Below are 24,044 nucleotides of genomic sequence, written 5' to 3'. Positions count from 1 at the left end.
TGGCAACTCCCTCCGTCTGCCAGGCAGAGGCTGAATTCCAAGGACCAAGATGCCGTCCCGGAGTGCCCGTCGAAGAGGGTCCGCCCCGCCGCCAGCAAGACAAGGCCATGGCGCTGCGTCTCACCAACGTCCCACAGAGATGACAGGGACGAGGCCACCAGCCCCTGGCCTCCGCAGCCCAGCGTGCACCCAGGGTCCCCGGACCAGGACAAGGAGATTCTCCAACACTGCTGGGCCCTGACCTGCCTCTCCCCTCCTCCTGCACCACAGCCTGCGCTTGGCTCTCAGGCTGCTCCGTGGGGCTCACCCCGACCCTGACGGCGCCTCTCGGTCAGGGCGGGGCCTATACTCCCTAGCGGCTAAGCTGGTGTCCTGAGGCGTCGGGATGGCAGGAGGCACAGGAGGTGCCAGGTAGGCTATGGGTTAGGACAAAGGGCACCACCCACCTCCCCAAACCTGCTGCAGGAGCAACTAAGGCCTGCACTTGAGCCTGTCCTCCCCTGTGGGCTGCCGGCCAGGGGGGCTCAGGACCCCAGAAGAACCTGGACCGCAGGGAAGCCAGACTTCGGAGAGCTGCCATGGAAGAAAACAGACCGAGCAAGGCGTCCTGGCCCCGGCGGAATCCACGGAAAGAAAACGGACCGAGCAAGGCGTCCTGGCTGCGGCAGAATCCACAGGAAGAAAACGAACTGGCAGCTGGGGCGAAGAGGTGCACAGCCCATGCCACGCTCCCCAGGAGCTACGGGCACCATAGAGACACAGCGAGAGGCCAGGAAGTGAGGGGATCCTGAAGATGCCTCCACCAAAGACAAAGGGCAAGGAAAATTGTCAGGTGCAGAGGACTTGTTGGGTGGCTGAGGGGACCGGCCACAGCACGAGTGAGACACAGGTGACCGCAGACAGCGAGGGAGGAAGCACGGAACACCCTCTTAAGAGCTCTGAGGGGTGTGGGGGACGCGCAGGTGTCAGCATCCTCGTCTCTTCTAAAATCCCAGGAGGAGAGACATAATTGGAGTGCAGAAAACAGTTGAAGAAACAATGAGCCACATTTTCCTGGAATTGGAAGGCTCACTGAGAGTCAGAGGAGACAGAGGAAAAACCATGGCCAGAGGCACTACAGGAAAACCTAAGAACACCATGGCCCGAGACGGTTAACACAGAGCACTGAGGATCAACTTGATTGGATTGAAGGATACAAAGTATTGATCTTGGGTGTGTCTGCGAGGGTGTTGCCAAAGGAGATTAACATTTGAGTCAGTGGGCTGGGGAAGGCAGATCCACCCTTAATCTGGTGGGCACCATCTAGTCAGCTGCCAACGAATATAAAGCAAACGTGAAAAGGAGGGACGGCCTCGCCTCCCAGCCTACATCTATTCTCCCGTGCTGGATGCTTCCTGCCCTCGAACATCAGACTCCAAGTTCTTCAGTTTTGAGACTCGGACTGGCTCTCCTTGATCCTCAGCCTAGAGATGGCCTCTTGTGGGACCTTGTGGTCATATAAATTAGCTGATACTTTCAAAAAATAAAAATTCTATTGACACAAGATTTTCAATAGCAACCGTGAATGCAAGATCTTAGAAGGTCACTTTGAAAGTGCCGAAGGAGAAGTTCAAGCTCAGGATTTTATAGCCAGCTAAAAGGTCATTTCTTGTGCAGGCACAGGACGACGACCTCATGGAGACAAGGCCTTTTGAGGTTTGCCATGGTGAGGTCCGCTTTGAAAACACCTTCAGAGCCAGTAGTCACAAAGAAAAGCCAGGGGGCAGGGGGTGGAGCAAAACATGGGCAGTGAGTGTGTAGAGACGCGGGAGGTGAGTGCCCTGAGACGCGGGAGGTGAGTGCAGGGACGCGGGAGGTGAGTGCCCTGAGACGCGGGAGGTGAGTGCCCTGAGACGCGGGAGGTGAGTGCAGGGACGCGGGAGGTGAGTGCCCTGAGACGCGGGAGGTGAGTGCAGGGACGCGGGAGGTGAGTGCTGAGTAGCAGGAGATGAGTGCTCTGAGATGCGGGACGTGAGTGCCCTGAGACGCGGGAGGAACACTGAGCACATGACTTTGTAAAGTTGACTCTCGCCTGTCCCTACCCCAAACCCACGTGTTCATATCAACCTGAATTAAGTTGGTTCTGGATGATCCAATGTGATGGGGTGGAAGGAGGCCACACGTGGGGAGAGGGTGCTAGGTTATTTGTTTTATGCAGGAAATAGTACAGAAATTGAGAAACACATATGTGTGTAAATCCTTTCTACAATGAAGAGTGACCATCTGAAGAATAAAAACCAGCACAACAACGGGGCACATAAATGGTGGGAGAAAGAAGGAAACGAGACAAGGACGGCAGCAGAAGTCGGAGAGAAAGTGCCATGGATGGACGCGTGACAGGCCGCCAGATGTGTCTTTTGAAGACTTCGTAACAACCGTTAACTAAACAGATTCAGATTAACAGAAAGACAGACTCTGGAGTGGATGTCTTTAGCAACATGCTGTCTAAAGAAGACCCACTTGATACAACGGTTAGTGAAAAGTTGAAAATAAAGGGACGAAAAAAGATTTACTACGAAAACAGTGACCAAAAGACAGAGGAGGTCCTATGTGGGTACTAGAAAAGCTGGATTTTAAGTAAAAAATAGGAGGGTAAAAAAAGGAATGCTTGAAGGTGTAATAAACAAGAAGAGATATGTAACTTACAAATGCAGTCTCAAAACATAAGAAGCCATGCTGAGGGCTACGGGTGCAGAGGTATCCCTGACTGTGGGGACTTCGGCGAACCCTCTTGGGAAGTGGCTGTTAGGGAAAGAATGAGCCGTATCACGGGTGGTTTGTACAGCACAGTCAAAACCACCAAACTAAGAGATGCCGTGAGATTTCCTATCTGATATGGTCTGGCTCTGTGTCCCCACTCAAATCTCATCTTATAGTTCCCATAATTCCCACACGTGGTGGGAGGGAGCTGGTGGGTCTTCCCCGTGCTGTCCCCGTGAGAGTGAATGGGTCTCACGAGATCTGACGGCTGTAAAAGCGGGAGTTTCTCCGCACAAGCCCTCTCCCTGCCTGCTGCCATCCACGTTAAGATGTGACTTGCTCCTTCTTGCCTTCCACCATGATTGTGAGGCCTCCCCAGCCATGTGGAACGCTAAGTCCAGTAAACCTCTTTCTTCTGTAAATTGCCCAGTCTCAGGTATGTCCTTATCAGCAGCAGGAAAACGGAGTAATACACTATGCAAGAAGTCCCTTCTCCAACACACACGCGGAACTGACGAAAGAAAACCAAGTACTAAGTCAACAGGGGCCTCAGTCACCTCCCAAGAATCAGCACCGCCCAGACTGTGTCCTGAGACCACAGAACAGAGCGTCAAAAACAGAGGCCACCAGAGAGCTCAGACACCCGGAAAGTCATGTACACGTCATCGATTTTACACACACACACACACACACACACACACACACACAGGTCCACCCACAGACGTACTCTCACTGAACACGGGTGAGCTGCAGAGCGTGCAGGCCTTCTTTTGTGCAGGCTTACTGAGTACATACACACACATACACGTCCACACACAAGTACTTACAGGCATGCTGTCACTGAACACACATGTGCTCACCACAGGCTTTCTGAGGACACCCACAGTGCCTCCACTTACCAATGTGCAGAGCCGGGAATGCTCTGTTTGGAGAGAAGAGCTGGGAGGAGAATGAGGAGGCATGAGAACTGGGGGTACTGCAAGGCCGCCGGGCACAGGGGCTTCCAGGGAGGGAAGTGGGTAAGGACAAAGGGCCTTGCTCAGGCCCATGACAAGCATCCCGTGAATCAAGGAGTGAGCCACCGACCCCGTCCCTGAGTTGCAGAGGAGGAAAAAGCTGCATGTCTGAAAGGGCTCACAGAACTCGGGCTGTCTGGAGCCACCTCTGACTTGGGCCACTGACTCTCTGGACAGAGGTCAGCCTGGCACATGCACCCTGTGCTCAGTAGCTGCAGGGCTCGCCAGCCTGTGGCTATGAGCCAAGTCCAGCCCACCGCCTGTTTTCGTGAATAGGGTGTTACTGGCACCCAGTCACACCCACCATCTACACGTGGAGACAAGGCCTCATGTGGCCCCCGAAGCTGGAGAGACTGCGCTCTGGCCCTTCACAGAAGGTGCCTGTCCCGCTCGGGAGCTCCTCTAAGCCGTGCACGGCTGCACGCCTGCCAGGCTGCTCCCGTTTCCTGGGTTCCCAGGGGCTGAAAGCGGAGGGTGTGAGACAGAGCCACACAGAGCAGGTGATGGGGACGGACCTCCAGCCCCGAGGCGCGCACCCGGGAGACACCGGGCAGCCCCTGCTCAGCGCTGGCACTCAATGCCGTGTCCCGGGTGTTGCTCACAAACCTGCCAAGTGCCCCTCAGTATTCCGGCAATACACATGACACAGATACGGGCTGTCAGCACACGCATGCACACACACGCACACACGCACATGCTCACAGTGACGGAGGCAAGACTGACAAGTGAACAATGTGACATTTAGATACAATCGCAGCCAAAAGATCAATCTGAGAATTCCTAAGAGTTACAAGAATGAAATATATTTTTCATCGATTTGTTGTTTTAAACCATTAAAAAGATGGGTAAGCGTGTTAAAGCAGGGTAAATACTTAGGGCACTAAACACACTCCCACTTGCGCATCGCGTGGAAAATCAATCTCTCTGACATACTTTCAAAGCAAAACCCCAAAAATCAGACAGCATTCCTCAGGCACTGAGGGCATTTTCAGGAAGAATAACGACTCCCGGAAAACAAGAGGCCACACGTCACAGCCGAACGCGGCGCCCGCCTTGCCCGCACGGCGTCTCACTCGAGTCCAGTATCTTGGCTCAAATTCACTCCCACAGTTGTTTTGAGAAAGAATCATAAAAATGTCCAAATCCCCTTTTCTGTTTACATTGGCCAAGTGGCACCTATTTGCCTGAAGCACCAAAGCAGACAGTGAGGGAGGGAATCGATGGTAGGAAACGGAGAGGGGGGCCTCTGCGCCCAGGCGGCCTGCCCAGCGCTGACATTATTGATTTTACCTAGTTCAGCTGGCCTTGTAATTAAAATGTAAATTGGAGAAAGAGATTATGTCCTGACAGAAATGGTAGGATTAAGGGGAAGATAAAGGCCCCTCAGTGAAAATTCAGAGGAAGAAATGAGAAAGAAAAAGAGCACGGTTTCCTCCGTGGTGTGGATTTAGACTAAATCTAACTACTTCAGATTCGCCCACGTTTAATTGAAAAAACAGCGGCAGAATATAAACTAGTGTTATGAACTGAGCTGGCCCCTCCGCCTGCCCCCACGCTTCCCGCCTGGTCCCCGCCTCCGGCACTCCTGGGGCCCCCGGGGTGTGAAGCTGAGTGGGGCCAGGGGTCCTCCCTGCGCACCCCAGAGGGCAGCTCTGTCACCAGGGCCTGCCCCCTCCTTTGGGCCCTCCAGCCCTCGCCTGGGGCTGGTACAGCTGGTGCTGCATGCTCGCACCCGGTCGACTCCCAGCAAGGCCGCCAAGGGTACCCAGGCCAGGCCCACAGGGCACATCGGCACCTTCAAGGCTGACGGCAGAACGGCAGAACGGCAGAACGTGGTTAGCCCTCTCACCTCAAGAAGTCAATCAGTGGCAATAAAACCACCAGGGCCTCTGCCTGCCCCAGGCAAGGCTGTGATGGAGCTCCCAGCTTCTAAGGCACCCTCCCCTCCACCGGGGCAGGTCTAAGGCACCCTCCCCTCCACCGGGGCAGGCGTGGGCCTTGAGAGGAAAGGGGCAGGCGCCATGCAGTGGAGGAGGCTTGGAGCCAGCAGAGGAGGGCGCTGTGGGGACCTGCGGCTGCAGCGAAAGAACCAGCCGCCAGTGCACCAGCTGTGCACACTTCCCTGGACCAGGACGGACCCAGCAGGGACAGCTCATCATCTGCTGAGCCTGGGGCCTGAGCTGGAGACACACATCTGGAGGTGCCTTCACAACCAGGGTCAGGCTGGGACAGCCTACGGGTGAGGCTTAGCCGGGACTGCCAAGCCCAGTGCCTACCTGTGACCCTGTGAGGCTCGGTGTACCTGCAGCAGGGCTGTGTCAGAGCAGGCGTCCCAGCACACCCGGCAGGGGCTGCGAGGCCGCTCGGCCCCCTTGGCTGGACGCTATTGTCGATGGGCTCAGGACCCCTGGGCTTCAGTGGGGAGGGGATGGCCAGGCCTGGTGACGAGTGAGCGCTGTCACCGTTGTGTTTGGCCACAGGCCCGGGGAGCCTCACCTCTTCTGATGAAAGGAGACCGCTCTGTTCTTTGGGGAAAGTCACCTCGTTTGAGTTTCGCTTCTGGCCTTGCTTCAGATAATTTAGAGCCACAAGTCAGGTTTTAGGGAAAGTGTGGATTTCTGCTTTTGAGACGCCACACGTCACCCCGTCTAAGATGTGTAACTTCTGCTGAAAAGGTTCAGAAGCCATCATAACAGGCCTGTGCAGAGGCCCAAGGCCAGGAAATGTGTGACACTACAGGCCAAGGGTCAGTGCCAGCTCCCAGACTCTGAAGATGCCCAGGAGGGGTCCGGGAGATGAGGCAGCCCAGCAGGCCAGGTCAGGACAGGCCTGCGCAGACAAGACGGCTGCCTAGGCCCCGGCTGCAGCACCTCCAGGAGACACCTCTGTGCTTCCACCATGCTCCGGGGGCTGGACCCACGGCCTGGTCCACCTGAGGGCGGCCAAGAGCCATGAAGGAGATTGCAGCGGCCAACGGTGTGCTCAGGCACCCCCAGGGCCCTCATGTCAGGCGTGGGGACGCCTGCCCGAGGTGGGGAATCAGCAGAAACACCATTTCAGGTGGATGCTGGTGTTGGAAGAACAGTGTGTGTGGGGTGGGGACAGGGGAAGCCCGATGAGGGCACAGCTGGGGCTGCGTCTCGGTGGGGGAAGGGGTCTGACGCAGTGAGGTCGGTGGTGGGGAGAGGCGTGCAGGTCCCTCGGCTTCTGCCTGCCTGCCCCTGGAGAAGCAGCGCAGGACCCTGGTCCGGAATGGGCCAGGCCACAGTGGTTCCCAGAGCGAGGTCCCGGCTGGCTCCAGGTGTCTGAGGCTTTCTTCCAGACCCTCAAGCTCACACTGACCCCAGGAGCTCAGCCTTCCCAGCCTGGGCCCTCCCTGGGCGGCCCCAGGGCAGAAGACAGCAGGCCCCAGTAAACAGGACCATACAAATGGAAGGTCGTTAGAAGCCTGGCTGTGCTAATTCGGCATGACACCCTTAATGGGTCATATCTTCACACATGAGTTGTCTAATCATCTAAGTTCTCTTAACAAATCTACATCTCTTCTTACAGACTCTGATTGAAACCAACTTGTCCATTCCACACAAAAGCTGAGGGTCTTGTTTTCATTTGCCTCCCCTCCATGCAAACACCACTGTGGGTACTCTGGGGAACTTTAAGAGTAGACCCACCTGGGTCCACGCCCATCCCCCAGGGCCACAATCCTGGGTGTGTCACTGGAACGCAGTTTTGGGAGGTATTTTTGAAAAACCTAAGCCCTCCACGGCACAGGCTGTGGCAGGGTTCGGCACCTCCCGAGTGCTCCCTGACAGTGAGAAGAGCCCCTTGCCGTGGAGTGCACAGCAGCCCTGGGCCCAGACCCGAGGCTGTGGCATCACCAGCGGTGAGGAGCGATGCCTGTGCTTGTGACCCCCGTAAGCGGGGATGGGAGCCTGGAAGGCGCGGGGTGGTGGCCCCTCCCACCTGCCAGCAACAGCTCCTGTAGCTGCGGGAATCACACCCACAACCCTCAAGTTCAAGGAGCCCACGAGAGCCCACCCTCGTGAGTGAGACCTTTCTGTCCCTGAGCAGGGCTGCGGATGGCACAGAGGGAGAGACCTGCCCCGCTGCGTCCTCACAGCAGGCCGGTGTGCTGGGTGTGCAGGCCGGTGTCCTCCACACACAAGAACCAAGGGTAGGATGGTGGCCCCTGTCCCAGACCCGGGCACCTGAGGGCCTGCCTGGCAGAGGAGGACCAGCAGGACCACCAGAGAGGAAGCCCACCGCGGGGCAGGCTGCAGGGAGGGCCCCAGGCCCGAGAACCCGAGACGGAGCCAGAACGTAGAGGAAAAGCACACACACGACTTCTCGGCCTCGTGGCTACGACCGTGAGCAGGAAAAGCAGCATTTTAAACCAAAGCAGCAGTTACCACAAGATGGGCTCCAGGCCCTGCCCCTGAGGTCATGACCCCAAGGGGCCACATCCTGAGTGGGGGACCCTCCACCCAGGTGCCCCCCCCACGGGACCCACTGCTCACCATACTCAGGCCGCAAGTGGTCGGGGATGTGTGGCTCATACCCCTCCTTCTCAGGGACCTCCACAAAGTCCTCATCGTCCTCATCTTCCTCCGCATCCCCCAGGGCTTCTGTCTGTGGAAAAACACCCCAATACAAATCAACCCCCAGACCCTGTGTATGAACACAGCTCCCGGTGGGCAGAGCCCTGGAAATTCCTATTTCTTGTGGAGCTTTTTCCCCTGCTTAGGGCTCCAACATCAGCCACGGTTGGACTGCATTTAAGATCGTCTCCAAGGCTGTTCTTGTTCCCCAAAATCACACCACCTCTGCACTGCCCCTGTGCTGGGGGCTGTTTAGAGTCTATGTTAAAACCACGAACTGTAACCCTGGCTGACTCCCCAGGTCCCTGTGGGAGGTGCTGCCCTCCTGTGGAATGGCGTCACACCGGTGCGAGGGCGGCGGTGCCCCCGGGGCTTAGGGGAGTTATCTTCCCACCAGGTGGAGCAGGTGCGTCTGTGGTGCCCCCGAGGCTTAGGGCAGTTATCTTCTCACCAGGTGGAGCAGGTGCGTCTGCGGTGCCCCTGAGGCTTAGGGCAGTTATCTTCCCACCAGGTGGAGCAGGTGCGTCTGCGGTGCCCCCGGGGCTTAGGTGAGTTATCTTCCCACCAGGTGGAGCAGGTGCGTCTGCTCTTAGGCAACGGGCCAGGGCTAGCTCCCCACACAGGGTTCTCCCGTGGTGCTGGTGTGACCACAGCATGTCAGGTGACAGAAAGGGACAAGTACTTCTGGAACATTCTGTCCTTGAGGACTTGTATGAAAACCACCTCCATTTCCTTTTGACAAGGCCACTTCTCTGCCAGGGTAGGTGTGGGGGGATCCCTCACTGAGTCTGGAGAGCCCTCGTGCCACCCCCGCCTCCCTCCTCCCATTGAGGAGCTGGAGAATGGCAGGAAGGCTTGCTTTCTTTTTCCCCTGAGAAAAGCCAGTTCCTTGAGCCCACCCTGCCCCTTCCTGCGCCCGACTTAGTGGGCAGAGGCAGGGACCTGTGTGGTGACTCATCTCATCAGGCCAGAGAAAGACGGTGGCTCCTGCACACAGCACGGCTGTGGCACAAGACACCATGGCTGCAGCTGTGACCATAAGACCAGCCCAGGCAGGCCTGCTCTGTTGCTAACAGAACGCCAAGCTGTCTTGCGGGCATAACAGGGCCAAGAAGAACTGGGGAGGCACCTGCCTCCCTGCTGCCTGCCCTGGTAAAGCCTTTCTCTTCCCAAAAGCTGCTGCTGCAGTACTGGCTTCTGTGTGCACTGGGTAGCGAGCCCACTGCTCAGTAACATGGCCACACGGTGGGCATCAACTGCTCCATCCACGCGCTCAGAAGCGGCTGTGGGCAAGCTCTTCTCCGCCTCACCTTCCCTCTGGCCTGCATCCTTCCAACAGCCCCACCACGGCCCAGGACAGGGTGTGGGAGCTCGCACGCAGCCCCCAGGGCGCACCATCCTTCCCTGAGAGCCCCGCCTCTGCAGCTCACCCACCGCAAACCTGGTGTGGGCTCAGCACAGCAGGGCGGTCATTCCTCACCTTCAGCTCCCTCAGGCCAGGAGAGGGGCTGGCAGGGCTGCTAGGGCAGCTGAAGGTCATGCCCCCAGGGTGGCCAGGGTGGTGGTGCCCTGGGGTGGCTGGGGTGGAGGTGCCCCAGGGTGGAGATGCCCCCAGGGTTGAGGTACCCCCGGGATGGAGGCGCCTGCATTCCTGTTCCCACAGCACAGCTGAGGGAAACTTCCCGGGAGAGAGATCCCTGTTGGAGGAATACCAAGCAAGGGGACCCTTAATGGGTTTATAAGAGAAAAACCGAAAAACAGAATCACTCTGACACACACCTGCATCTCTAAAAAGCATTCCCAGCAGCAACACCTCAAAGGCGCCTGCGATCGCAGCTGTTTCCTGAAGGGAGGAAGGACAACTGAAGAGGGGCCTGACCCCTGACCCCTAGGGCGGGAGCCCACATGTTCACCAGAGACAAAGCCCAGGTGTGCAGGGGACTGCGGCTCCAAGCCCAGCCCCCACGGAGCCAGGCCACACAAGGCCACGGGGCCCGCGCACCAGCACCGTGCGGGGAGGTGGCCCCCACGGAGCCAGGCCACACAATGCCACGGGGCCCGGGCACCAGCACCCTGCCGGGAGGTGGCCCCCACAGAGCCAGGCCACACAAGGCCACGGGGCCCGGGCACCAGCACCCTGCCGGGAGGTGGCCCCCACGGAGCCAGGCCACACAAGGCCACGGGGCCCGGGCACCAGCACCCTGCCGGGAGGTGGCCCCCACGGAGCCAGGCCACACAAGGCCACGGGGCCCGGGCACCAGCACCCTGCCGGGAGGTGGCCCCCACGGAGCCAGGCCACACAAGGCCACGGGGCCCGGGCACCAGCACCCTGCCGGGAGGTGGCCCCCACGGAGCCAGGCCACACAAGGCCACGGGGCCCGGGCACCAGCACCCTGCCGGGAGGTGGCCCCCACACCAATCATCAGACCAAGTGCACTTTGTTTAGGAGCATCCCACTGCTGAGCATCTGGGAAGCACAGGAGACATTAATCACTGGAAACTGTAATTTTTGTTATCAGTCTAACACTGATCAAAAGGGAAGCCTGTCTCCACCGCTGACCTGTGAAACGTCCCAATTATACTCTTTGGAAATGACAGGGGCACTTAACTCCCGCGCTGAGCAAATGATGGCGATCCATCACGTCTGAATAACAACAAGCCACGGACCTGAAAATTATTTCTGTACAGAATCTGCCAGGAATTTATGAAAGGTGGAGAGCAGCCCAAGGTTTCAGGGCATTACGGTTCTCAGCCAGTGCAGCGCGTTATCACACACTAAACAGAATTTATGTGTTTTAATTTTCTAAAAGGTAGATGTGGACCGGGTGCTACAATGCATAACATATAGTGCCAGATTTTAAATATGGGCGTCGTTTTCAAAAAATATTATGCTTCCTGTTCGCACCCTTGAATTTCATCGGGGACTTTTATCAAATTTTCATTTCCTAAAAAATATTCAACTGCTCAGGTAACTATTAGGAATTACACCTTCTTTCTCCCCAAATAATGGTTCATTTCTGTGACTAAATTTGGAGCCCTGGGTTCCCCTTTGTTCTTAAATCAGCGCTGATGAGGGCACCCTGGTCCCGGTGAGCATCTCCCTCCGTAACAGCGGCCAGGTCCGTGGGTGGCTCTCCCTTCACCTCTGAGGCAGCCGCAGGGCTTCCTCCCTGGCAAGGTCCCACCACAGCCACCGTTTCCATACTTCAGCTTGCAACTACTGAGGCCGTGGTACCCCTCAAACCACAGCAACTCAGCATTGAGGGGCTTCACTGCGGATACTAAATGCAAGGCTGAAAGCTGCTGTTTTCAGGGTTCAAGTCACACGGGATAAACTCTCATGTCTGAAACCCACAGACGCACAGTGCGGTCACCTCCAACATCTGCTGCTGGGCACACTGAACGCCAGGGACAGGCAGGGATGCTGAAGATGGGGAAGCCGTGAGCCTAGGAAGCTGTGTGGCTGTTCACAGGCCTGTTCGGAGGACAGGAACGGCGTGGTCACCAGGGACAGAGCTCCCCGAGGCCTCGAAGCGCACGGAGCCCAAAGGGAGGGTGAGGCCCCGCACGAAGCCCCCCTTCCACGTGGTCCCACACGCCTCCAGTTCACCTCTAAGAAGTCAAATCATCAAGTGGTGACAGGCAAGAGCCACCCGCCCTCAAGGTGAGGGACAGATGAGCCAGGGGCCAGCACCACGGGTCTGCAAGCCCTGCTGAGGGGCTGGGCACCGGTGCGGGGGGGCTCTGGACGAGCAAGAATCCAGGAAAGGAGATCATACACCCTATGTGGTGCTGGGGCTGGAGATGTCTACAAAATGAGGTTAGGTTTGGAAAAGGTTCTCAAGAGCAGTCTGCTTTTACCCCGACCTGGCAGCCGAGTTTCCTGTGATAAAGCAGGGGCATGGGAGGCACAGGTCACCTGCAGGCTGTCCCCTCCCAAGGGGGCTGTGACCCGTGCCCACACCTTCCCTAATGGGCCAAGTCCCCTGCGGGGCATTGGAAGCCTCCCAAGGCTGGTCCACAGTGCAGGAGCTACAGGAGCTATAGACCCCTCGACATGGAGAGCCAAGACCACCCGTGCACAGGGCACCTCCAAAGGAACCCCAGCCACCGCGGGGAGGCGGGCAGGAGCACTCCGGCCTCTGCTGGCTTCATACAAATGGATTCTCACCCACACTTAAAAGGATTTAGAAAAATGAGCCTCCACGATCATAATTAAACAAGCAATAAAATGGCTAAAATATACAATGCAATCAGTTCACAGAAGTAGGGTGGCGAGGTTACTAATTATTTGAGAAGGAAAGGAAGAGGAGAGGCCGTGTGAAGGGGCAGGTCTGTCCGCCACACACAGGCTGGGAGATACAGCTGGGGCCATTAAATAAATTTTGTACGATCTAATTAACTTGGTACGCGGTCTCAATTACTTTTCACCCAAGAAATCACTTTTGTTCAGTTTTATGTGTGTCTGTTTCCCTTTTTATAAAAAAAAAAAAAAAAATGATGTAAGGCCTCGTCAGACAAGTGAGTTCCAAATTGCATTTGTCTTTCAGCGCCTTGATGGCTATGTGTTTAAAAACCCATTCTATCTTATAAACCAAAAATTAAACGTGCTCAGCTGTGATGGTCGTCATTGCATCTGCTATTTATATGCTAATGCCCTCCCTGGAAGGCCGTGCAAATTGCCCGGCCAGGCCAATATCTCATGTGCATCTCCGGCTGCCAGGGACGCACCTTGAGAGGACGGAGGGCGGAGCGGTGCAGGGCTGACTGCAGCAAGCGTGCGGGAAGGGCACCTGGCGGGCAGCACTGTCGGGGCCGAGCAGAACCTGCTGGACACAGACACAGCACCATAGGCGTGTCCTCACCTCTGAAACGAGAGCCTGGAGGTTCTGCTGAAGCAAGTCGTTGCTTTCTAGAATGACTGGTTCTTTACTATAAAATCTACACTCATCAACACGCTCTTACAAGAATATCACAAAACACAGTGCTGTGGGCCTCTTCCCATTCTCGTCTAACCCAGGTCACTCCCAGTAATGAGGCTCAGACAGACCTGCCCTTGGGAGCTGCCAGCCAGCATGGTGGGCCTCGGGCCGCTTCCTGGAGTCCCAGCTGCAGGGGCCAGGACCACAGCACCACAGGCCTGGGGGCCTTCTTGGGTGTGAGAGGAGGAGGCCTCAGGTTCACAAGATACCTGGAGGTCGATTCCAGAGCTAGGCTAGGGGCAAAATTTCTGCTGGGTCCCCGGGGCTGCCTGCCAGATAGAGACACACATCTGTCGACCAGATGCGGGCCGGGGGTCCTGGGTCTGTGTTGCTCTCCAGATGGATGGAGCTGGGCCAGGGCGGCCTCTTCTCCTGGGGCAGCCAAACTGGTGTTTGCCCCTGGGTCCCACATAGGACGTTCTGAGCAGAGGTTGTGGGCCTGGTTCTTACTGAGCAGGAGCACTGGGTGCAGTGCTCAGGAAGCTGGTTGAGGCACCAGGGGTCACGCAGACTTTATGTAAACGCCCCCTTCAGTGGAGAGCGGAATGACTTCTTAGAACATCTGGGGCCTCCAAACCTAGTAGCTCCTGCCCCCGAGCTCTGCGGAGAAAGCTAACTCTGGGCTCGGGAAAATGAAAGCTGCCTGTGTCCTTGCTCCCGGGCTCTGGTGAGTCACACACACACTCGGCTCACGGGGGCGGGAAAGGACCCTGCTTCAGCCTGACCTTCTCAGGGAAGGAGAGTGCAGCCAGGGCCCACAGGGGCCAGAACGCCAGCCTCTGGGAAGCAGGCGCCAGCCTCTGGGCGCGGCCATAGCACGGGTTTGTCAGGCGCACTTACATTCATCAGGAGGCCAGGCCTGGACAAGGAGGCCGGGGCCTACACAGCTTCTCCCGGGCTCAGCTTCCCTGTCTGTAAAATGGGGTGGAAAACCGATCGACCCCACGGGGCTGCTTTCCAAACGAAAGGGGTAACAGCATGGGGCGGTGTTTCAAGGAGCGCTGGGCTTGTCTGGCAAGCGCCCTGTGTTTTGCAGACAGGTACTGAGGGACGGTGAAAGCCCAAAAGACGGGTCTGTGCCACCGGTGTGGGAGGGAGGGCTGGCACAAGGCCCTGGCTGGGCCTAAGATGTTCTCCCCGTGTTCCCTGTGCTGACTCCAGAGAACCTGTGTATCTGCACCCCGCCCCCCGTGGGCAGCCCTTGGGATGCGGTGGCGCACACAGCGGCTTGGCCTTCGGCGTGATGGAGGGGCCCCATCACCCAGGAAGGTTGTTTCCCAGCCCTAGGGCGGTACAAGGTTTCCCAGCAGCGCTGATTTAGGTCCCTCCTCCCCTGCCTGTGCCTGGTGGGTCCACGTTTCATTCCTGGGTTTTCAGTTTCTGTCCCTTTCACCTCCTGGAAGTCAGACACTCCCATGGCTCCAGAGCATCACAGAAAACTTTCCCTCACGCACAGCAGGAAAAGGAGGTGGGGCCTCGATCCCAGGGGCTGACAGGGTCCCCGGGAGGCTGTCAGCTGCATCCTGGAGCCCACTGAACATCAGAGGGCAGAATGCTTCTGGCATCTAACTCCAAAGATCAGAGCTTTGGTGGTGAGGCCGGTGGAGGAGGCAGGCAGGCGGCCGACAGAGAAAGAAAACCACAGAGTCGGGGGGACGACTCTGGTTCTGTGGGCAATGGAGGATGCATCCACGGCCAAACCCATGTGGCTGCCACATCAGACTCAACATCGGCGAGAACAAAAACAAACCCGTATCTTTCAGCCACGGAAACAAGTAACCCGGTAACTAGCAGAAGGAAAGACAGAGCCACGCTGACGGTACTAAAGAGAACGATGCTTAAGATGCGTTTCTGACTCACTGGCTGATAGGAAATTAATATTTTGTTAATTACACAATACAAAGTAATTGGTGATTTGAGCTATGTAATTTGGCAGCAGGCAACGTGAAAGTTTCCAGAGGATTTTTATCAGCTCAGCGAATGACGCAGCCACGGATGATCACACCCACCCTACAGCGCGGCAAGGCTGGACACGCAATCTACCAAATGACGCTGCACATTGATCCAGGAGATTCACCCTCGGCCTGCTCCCAGACGGAAGCCACACAGAGGCACTCCAAACGCACAGCACACATATTCAAACCAGCGTTGAGTATTTTCTGAAGACGGAACATCTGTCCCCAGACGGAAGCCACTCAGAGGCACTCCAAATGCACAGCACACATATTCAAACCCGCCTAAGTATTTTCTGAAGACAGAACATCTGCGTCAAAAGGAAAACAGTATTACGTAGAAACCAAGTGGGAAATGTTAAAAAGGAAAGACACGGTGTCTGCTCCCGGGTGGCTGCCCGAGGAGAGCCTCAGCACGAGCACCGGCCGGAGACAGCACGAGGACGGGCTGGGCCTTCCGGGGCTAGGCTCCTGCCTCCTGCCTGCAGCTAGCAGCGTTCCATGTTCCCATCTCCTACATGTTAGTTGGAAGTTCTAAACATATTTAAATCAGGCATGACTGAATTAGCGTGCCCTGTTCTACACACGGAGTTAACGACGCCAATCCCCGTGCTAAATGGGGAGACACGGAGGGAAGTGATTTAAACCCTCTGTAAATTTTATTTGAAAATTAACGAGGAGCACCTCGTCCATAATTTCTAATTAAAATGGCTCTAATTAACGTCCACGTTTGTCAGCCAGCCCCACCTGCCGCACACACGCCACTCGGACGCAGCGGCCGCGCGGAGCCAGGAGGGAGATGGGCAGATACTGCAGTGGTGCCACGGCATCTATTCTGGGAAGCATCGCTCACCTGAGCTAGGCGAGCCCGCCAATCACTTCATCTCCAGGCAGCTCCTTGCACTCCAGCTGCCGGGAGCAAAATCTCCAAGGACTTCAGAACGGTGCTTTAAAAAGAAACCAGTTTGCGGAGAAGAGTCTAGAAAGTGTCCATTCAACTGACAAATGGGCAGCGTGGCGCCTCCCTTCCCACCGGAGCTGTGACATCCTCAATCCAGCCTCACAGGCCCTGCTGCCCTTGCACACTCACCAGCTCTGAAGCACAGCTGGGGCACATCTGCTGGCCAGACCATGTGGTCGAAGGGGACGAGGGGCCCTCCAAGCACTGTCAGTCCTGGCCGCAGACACCCCCCGCCCAGTGCCACCACTCAGATCTCAAGAGGATGCACACAGATGGGTCAGGAGTGGGCCCCGGCCAGCAGGAGTGAGGAAGGACAGTGGGATGGCAGCAGGCCCTGGGCGCTGGGTCAGGGTGGCTGCCTGTGTGCCAAGGGCTGGGGTCACGCGCCACGGAGGGACAGTGCTGGCGGCTCCACCACGTGGGGCGTGAGATGCTCATGTGAGAGTCACTCAGAAGCTCAGAGACAGCTAACAGTGTCGGCGGGGTCCCCGGGACCTGGTGGGTGGGAGCAGCAGCTGCTGGGGTCCTTCAGGCGGCCGTGCCCTGCCCAGTACCCTCCTGCATGGCCTGGCCCACACCCGTGTTATGGGCCCTGGCCCCCACAGACCAGGCCCTGAATATAGCATCCCTGAGGCAGGAGGGGCTAGTGCTGCCTCCAGAAGGGCACGGCCAGCAGGAGCCTGCAGCCTGCAGAGGTCTGGGAGGCCAGCACTCCTGAGCCCACACACGGCAGGAGCCAGGCTGAGCTGAACACTCATGAAGAGCACGCAGGGTCCCTGGCACACAGGGGGAGTCTGCATCCACCAGGGTGAGGTGGAGATGTGGGTGCAAGTCAGCCATGGCTGGGAGCCTGCAGGCCTCGCTGGTACCGTGGCCGCGCTGAATTAGAGTCCTGACTCGGGGAACGGCAGCTCCTCATCCTCACCCAAGCAGGCCGAGCTGCCAGCAGTCCCGGAGGCTGCCCAGATTCACTTCCACCAGCCAACCCCACTTGGAGGGCATCCCAGATGCTGTAGAGCTGTGAGATGCAGGCAGGGGTAGCACCAGGCATTCCAGAAGGTTCCACTGCCAGAATCTCAGGCCAAGAAGAGCCACCTGGCTGCCCCAGCCCCAGCACTGCTGCTGGTACTAAAGGACTGTGCCAGCTGGAGGGGCCCAGGCCTGATGAGACCAGACCATGCCACCCATCAGCCCCCCTCTGCTCTGTGGACCCTCACCAATAACCAGCTGGAGGGGCCCAGGCCTGATGAGACCAGACCATGCCACCCATCAGCCCCGCTCTGCTCTATGGACCCTCACCAATAACCAGCTGGAGGGGCCCAGGCCTGATGAGACCAGACCATGCCACCCATCAGCCCCGCTCTGCTCTATGGACCCTCACCAATAACCAGCTGGAGGGGCCCAGGCCTGATGAGACCAGACCATGCCACCCATCAGCCCCGCTCTGCTCTGTGGACCCTCACCAATAAGCCAGCTGACCCAGGGGTTGCCACTGCCAGGCAAAGGCCCACCGGCCACCTTCAGACAAAACTGTCTGCAGACTGCAGAAGCCGTGCCAGGTGAGTCCAGGGCAGCAGGTGCACCGGTGCAGTGCCTGGTGCAGGGTCTCAGCGTGAGGCTCCAGCAAGCCTTGCCCATGCCGTGGAGACCGGGCAGTGACCTTGAAAGGGCCTCAATGTGAGCCACAGGGAAGTGCCCGTGACCCCAGCCGGCAGCCCCCACGCAGCCCACTAGGCAACAGTGACAGGGGCTGGCATAGGGGCCCGGTCCTGCGGCTGCCATCCTGTGGGCCCAAGTGTGCTGGGCATGGGCAGTGGGCTCACCCTGATCTTGACATGCTGACGGCACTCACCATCTTCCTCCCAAGCCTAGACCAGCATCCTTTCGCATTGCAAAAAGTATATTTTCGTCACAACTCACAGAAGTATTTCCTTGTGGAGCAAGGTGTTGACCAGCACCCACAAACGCGGCCACACACCAGCGGCGAGGCCAGTGGGCTCCCACATGTCTATAAATTCTCCGGGAGTCAGTTTCGGACTTAAAGGAGAAAAGCAAGCTCGCCCTCTGCTGGCCCCTGGGGGGGCTGCACACCACCACGTTGGGGACGCGGGGCCACTGACCTGGGGAAAACGACAGGCTCAGCATTTAATCGAGAGGAGCTTCCCCACCCCCCAACTTCCAAGGCCCCGCACGTCTGCTGCTGTGGAACCCAACCTCTTCCTCAGCAAGGAGCACAGTGTCACTTCCACCCCAAAGCTTTCCTTAAAGTGGGGAGAGCCAAAAGGCCACCATCTCCTAGGCCAGGGCTGGATTTGGGGTCCGAGCTCAGGGGTGTTGGGGTTCAGGGCTTGGGTTCCTGAAGGGAGAGGTGCCTGAGAGACAGCACTGCTGTGGGAGCTCAGGGTGGCCGCTGTGTACCTCCAGTCCTAAGGCCCGACTGTGCTGGGTGCTGCCGAGGACGTCTGCAGAGGACCCCAGCTCTCAGGCCCCTCCAGGCACCGAGGCCCAGATTTCCATTCCATGCTCAGCCAGTTCAAGGTCCCTGGCACAGCAGTGTGCTGGGCACCCCCACCCTCGAACGGCTCCGACACACCCAATGCGACGGTCTCTGCTCCCAGCTTCACCCACCAGAGGCACCCCAAACCTCCCTCCAGCCTCCAGCCCCTCGCGGCAGCCCTGCCCCTTCTAACCCCGTGCTCCCTGCTCAGGGAAGTGCAGTGCCCCCATGACCCTCCCAAGCCCCTCGCAAGGCCCAGCAGACAGTAACCCAAGTCTTCACCCCAAGTGGGCACCAGTGCCCGCGCTGACCCTCCTGGCCGTCTGAGGGTTTGCCGAGGGTCTCTCCTCTGGTGGATACAGTGCCTGCCAGGACAGGTGCCGCACTGCTGATGACTCCCTAGAAGGAGTCACGGGGGGGACAGCCTGACTGGTGGCTTCCTGGAGGCGCGCACAGCACTCAGCACTTCTGCTCAGCTACCATACACGGCAGCCGGGCAACACCCGACAGCTGCACTGTCCCCTCTGCCATGGTGATGACCCTGGGCTCACAGGAAGCCCTCGCTGGGGAGGCAGGTCCTGCTGAGGCTGAGTGGGCTTGGGGTGTGGCTGGGGTCCGCCGGGCCCACAGGCCCAGGGCACAACCCCCCCACAGCTTCTCCTCCCCCACTGAGGCCTCTGGGACCCCTTCCCGCTCGCCGCCTGCCCACTCACCCTGCGCCTTTCCCCTCCCTCAGGCTCGATGTCCAGCTCCTTGTATTTTCTCAGTACGAGCTCCAATTCAGCCTTCAGGTCAATGGCACGCTTTAAACATCCACCGTGGGTCCCGACGCGGGTGAAGCGCTGCGAAACGGGGGTGCGAACAGCTCAGGGGCCGGCCGGGCAGGACCTGGGAAGCTGTCCTGCTGGGAGGCACATGCCAGGTCCACTGGCCCGGGGGGTCCCTGGCACACCTGGGATGCAGAGGACAAAGCTGCGGGTGAGGGACAGAGCCCTCGCGGGTTAAGGGCCATTCAGTCACCGGGCCACAGTCCCCCCAAGAAAGGGACCCCCCCCATGCATGGCACTCTGCACACGTCCCTCCACCCACAGGTCCCAGGTTCGAGGCTCACCTGGATCCACGAGCACACAGCCGGCAGGAACTTGTTCCGGATGAGCTTGAGTGTGTCGCGGGCGGCGTGGATGAGAGCAAGGTTGTCCTCGTTCTCCTGCACCTTCAGGCCCTCTGGGGAGAAGCACACAGAGGTCACAAGAGGGCGCCGACTGGCGTCTCCCACAGGCCCCGGAGAGGCAGACCATGCAAGGAAGGCTGCTCTAGCCTGAGGGGAACCTGCCAGACGCCCATGCCTGCCCCCGGGAATCCCAAACCTGATGCTGTGAGAAGGAAGTGTTTTATTATCTTAGAAAAGAACACTGTGGCTTAACACCAAAGCCTCCCCTCACACGCAGCTCCACTGCCTGTGTCTCAGTCTCCTTGGCTGCAGCCATCCCATCTGGAGGGCGAGACCACCCACAGCCTCTTCTACTCACCGCCCCCACACGCCGGGCACAGAACCTTCCCCTCCACAGCCCACGCCACAGGATGGCGCCCCTCCAGCCCAGCCTCACCAGCCCCCACCCCCCCGGCCTCTCCTCCGCTGGACACCCCAACTCCAGTTCTGCCCTGCCGTGGCTTCCCCCGCTGTGGCACCCTCAGTGTCCGGCGCAGGGCAGAGCTCTATACAGGCGAGGACAGCCCAGGCTTGCAGCAGCGGTGTCCACCCCGCACAGGCCTGCAGCCTCACTGCTGAGGCACCTCTGGGCAGCTGAGACCCGAGGATCAGTTCTCCCAGCAGCTTCCCAGCCCGGCTGCCTCCTGGCCCTGGTGAAGGGACACCTGCTGTGCCTGCTTCCAAAGAAGAAGGTTCCTCAAAGAGAGCGATTTGAAGCCACACACATACGCAAAGGGCCCCAGCCTCCACTCACACCCCAGGGGGGCAGCAGGGGGCTTGGGAGGAAGCTGGGGCTGGGGGGCGGGGGCGGCTATGTCTCTGCAATCCTCACCCACCCAGGCTGCAGTGCCAAGGCTGCCCGTGGCCATTTCTGGAACACATTTTCCTCCCAGCAAGGGCCGGTGCTACCTGACCCCTCATGGCGACACGGGACCCTGACAGGCCTGTGAGCTGACGGGATGCCCACACAGCCTGCCCAGGGATCCAGTCACTTGGAGGTCAGGCCTGTGCTCCCTCATCCTTTGAGGACCGCAACAGCCTCACGACCCCACCTCACCCCAATCCTGTGGGTCCTTACTCTGCCCACAGCCTCACTGAGGTGGGGGCTGCCATGAGCTCTTAGAAGTGTCCCTGTGGCCACAGAGGCCTGGCATGGGTGGGGGGAGCCCAGTGCAGAGGCCACACAGAAAGGAAAAACCTGGTGGTGACCCCTGACCTAGCTCCCCAGGGGAGGCCCCTGCATCCCCAGGCTCCTGGGCCGGGTGCCAGTGAGGGAGGAGCCTACCCGGGAGCCGGGGCAGGGTGGCGCCACAGAGACCCCGCGAAGGCAGTTACCTGAGCAGAGCTCCACATCCAGCGTGTACTTGTGCGAGCCCAGCCCGTGGCTCCGCACAAACTCCTCGAGGTCGCTGTCCTCGTCCTCATCTGAGGGGTCACCTGTGGCTGTCTGGGATGGCTGTGCCCCGCCGCCCGCTCTGGGGTGGCCTGCAGAGGCAGGCAGGTCTCTACTGCAGCAGGGCTGCTCCCCGTCCCGGGGGTCAGGGGTGCCAGACCGGCAGGGGCCCACCTGGCCCGCGCAGGAGGAGCGAAGGGCATCGGACATGCCAGAAGCCATGCCAAGGGATTCCGTCTCCGGGTTCGGGTCAAAGTCAAAAGGCACCAGCAGCCTAAAGCAGCTCTCTACCTCCGTCAAGCAGGATTCAATTTCTCCAGACATTTCTGCCGGAAGATCAAGACACCTGTTTGCTGCGCTATGTGGAGCAAAAGCACCAGCCCACTCAAAACCACACTCAGAGGCCCACTCCCCGCAGGGTGTCACTTTTCAGCACCAGGTGGAATGCAGTGGTGCAATCACAGCTCACCCCAGCCTCGACCTTCCAGGCTCAGGTAGTGCAGCCGCCTCAGCCTCCTGATTAGCTGGGACTACAGACACGTGATGCCATGCTCAACTAACTTTTCTGTAGAAACAGGGTCCTGCTATGTTGCCCAGGCTGGCTTTAAACTCCTGGACTCAGGCGATCCGCCTGCCCTGGCCTCCCAAAGTGCCGGGATGACAGGCATGAGTCACCGCGCCCAGTCGTGTGCTGCACTTTTTAACCGCTTACTAGAGCACCCAGCTCAGCAGCTGGGCCTGCAAGGCAATCTCTGTGTACCTCTGGGTAGCAAGCACGAGTGCGCAGGGGAGGTCAGCCCACCTGCACTTCCCAGGACACGGCTGCACCTCTTCCCTAGGGCAACAAAACAGCCTCGTTCATGCCACACCTCCCGGGCCGGAGCAGCTTTCCTCCTGGCAGCCTCCTCATTGTCTGGGCACCCAGCTGCCTGCCTTGTGAGCTGCCCTGAGGCCTGCGTTTCCAGTGGCCTGTGGCAGGTCCCACACCTGGGACCACAGTCTGTCAGGAGAAGGATCTGGGGTACATGTAGTCTGAAGACACAGGGCCGTGCCTCCGCCCACATCAGGAGGTGTCTCAGGAGGGCCGTGGCACCCCCTCCTCACACTCTCGTGGTGCCCCTCACAAGAAAGGCTGACTGCCGAGAAGCAAACAGTGAAGTTTTGGGGAAGGGGCTGGCAAGGGCAAGACAGCCACAAAATAAACAGGTGGCAGGGCCTTCAGCCAGGCTGGGGCTCAGACCACTGCCCACAGGCACACCTGTGCCTGGCATCTCTGCCCAGAGGTCCGCGCAGCGAACGGGCGTGGATGAATGTGACCACCAGAGGGCGCGGGAGAGGCATGGACAGCCTGGGAGGCCTACGGCTAAGAACGCCTTCCGGCCCGACCTGAATCCTCTCCACCTAGCCTGTCTCAAAACCTGGGTTCCTTGCGGCTGGGGCCCTGGGACCAGGAGGATGAACTGCTGGACCACGGGCAACCCTCAGAGGCGTGGGCCCCTCCCTCCGTCCTGGACACTTGCCTTGCATCTCCCTCTCCGCCTGGCTGGCTCTTTCTTGATAAATTTTATCCAAGTGCTTCTGCTTCTCCTCTTCTCTCTTCCTTTCTGCCAGACTCCGAGCATTCGTGTCTTGAAAATCCACCTGAGCAATTGAAAATAAAGACTAGGGGACAGGCGCGGTGGCTCACGCCTGTAATCCCAGCACTTTGGGAGGCTGAGGCAGGCAGATCACGAGGTCAGGAGATCGAGACCATCCTGGCTAACACGGTGAAACCCCATCTCTACTAAAAATACAAAAAAAAAATTAGCCAGGCGAGGTGGCGGGCGCCTGTAGTCCCAGCTACTTGGGAGATTGAGGCAGGAGAATGGTGTGAACCCGGGAGGCGGAGCTTGCAGTGAGCCAAGATCGCACCACTGCACTCCAGCCTGGGCGACAGAGCGAGACTCTGTCTCAAAGAAAAAAAAAAAAAGAAAGAAAATAAAGACTAGGGCTGGCCCAGCACAGTGGCTCATGCCTGTCACCCCAGCACTTTGGGAGGCCGAAGCAGGTGGGTCACAAGGTCAGGAGATTGAGACCATCCTGGCTAACACGGTGAAATCCCATCTCTACTAAAAATACAAAAATTAGCCGGGCGTGGTGGGGGGTGCTTGTAGTCCCAGCTACTTGGGAGGCTGAGGCAGGAGAATGGCGTGAACCCGGGAGGTGGAGCTTGCAGTGAGCTGAGATCGCACCACTGCACTCCAACCTGGGCAACAAAGCAATACTCCATCTTAAAAACAAAAAATAGCCAGGTGTGGTGGCGTGTGCCTGTAGTCCCAGCTACTTGGGAGGCTGAGGCAGGAGGATCACTTGGACCAGGGAGGCGGAGGTTGCAGTGAGCCGAGATCGCGCCACTGCACTCTAGCCTGGGTGACAAACCAAGACCCTGTCTCAAAAACAACATCATCAACAACAACAACAAAAACTAGAGCTATCTATACAGAATGTGAGGAAGATAAAGCTCAAGTAGGCCTAACAAAAGACAGCACCCATGCGTGGCCAAGAGCCCTATGCGTCTGTAAGTTCACAGTAGTTTTTTTTTTTTTTTTTAAGAGACAACGGTCTTGCTGTGTTACCAAGGCTGGACTCAAACTCCCAGGACCAGGTGATCCACCAGCCTCGGCTTCCAGAGTCAGTGGGACTGTGGGTGTGCACCC

General features: G+C 58.3%; 1 protein-coding gene across 23 annotated transcripts in view, besides 3 other annotated features; it reads right to left on the bottom strand.

Moving 5' to 3' along the window:
• UVSSA (UV stimulated scaffold protein A) overlaps positions 1–24,044 on the bottom strand; it is a 53,979-nt gene that overhangs the window by 21,286 nt on the left and 8,649 nt on the right. For 12 of the 23 annotated variants that reach the window (XR_007057948.1, XR_007057949.1, XM_017008493.3 and 9 more), the window contains 5 exons: positions 22,869–22,989; positions 21,291–21,674; positions 19,857–19,969; positions 19,459–19,587; positions 8,273–8,384 (listed from right to left, as the gene is read on the bottom strand). Coding sequence is in view for 17 of the 23 variants with exons in the window: in XM_017008493.3 (XP_016863982.1) it covers positions 8,273–8,384; positions 19,459–19,587; positions 19,857–19,969; positions 21,291–21,674; positions 22,869–22,989 (859 nt within the window). In the remaining 6 variants the exon portion in view is untranslated. The other 11 variants (XR_001741304.2, XR_001741303.2, XR_001741302.2 and 8 more) reach the window with 11 other exon arrangements.
• Positions 13,628–14,149: an enhancer, noted in NCBI's record as "H3K4me1 hESC enhancer chr4:1354343-1354864 (GRCh37/hg19 assembly coordinates)". NCBI's record gives its function as "activates a minimal SCP1, AML or CMV promoter by ChIP-STARR-seq in primed H9 embryonic stem cells {active_cell/tissue: H9 hESC(primed)}" and the evidence as "EXISTENCE:reporter gene assay evidence [ECO:0000049][PMID:30033119]".
• Positions 14,150–14,671: an enhancer, noted in NCBI's record as "H3K4me1 hESC enhancer chr4:1353821-1354342 (GRCh37/hg19 assembly coordinates)". NCBI's record gives its function as "activates a minimal SCP1, AML or CMV promoter by ChIP-STARR-seq in primed H9 embryonic stem cells {active_cell/tissue: H9 hESC(primed)}" and the evidence as "EXISTENCE:reporter gene assay evidence [ECO:0000049][PMID:30033119]".
• Positions 23,585–23,753: a silencer, noted in NCBI's record as "fragment chr4:1344739-1344907 (GRCh37/hg19 assembly coordinates)". NCBI's record gives its function as "represses an EF-1alpha promoter that drives an FKBP-Casp9 reporter gene in an ReSE screen in K562 erythroleukemia cells {active_cell/tissue: K562}" and the evidence as "EXISTENCE:reporter gene assay evidence [ECO:0000049][PMID:32094911]".

This window comes from Homo sapiens, chromosome 4 (genome assembly GCF_000001405.40).
Source record: "Homo sapiens chromosome 4, GRCh38.p14 Primary Assembly".
NCBI classification, from domain to species: domain Eukaryota; kingdom Metazoa; phylum Chordata; class Mammalia; order Primates; family Hominidae; genus Homo; species Homo sapiens.
This window is presented reverse-complemented; position numbering and strand designations above follow the sequence as displayed.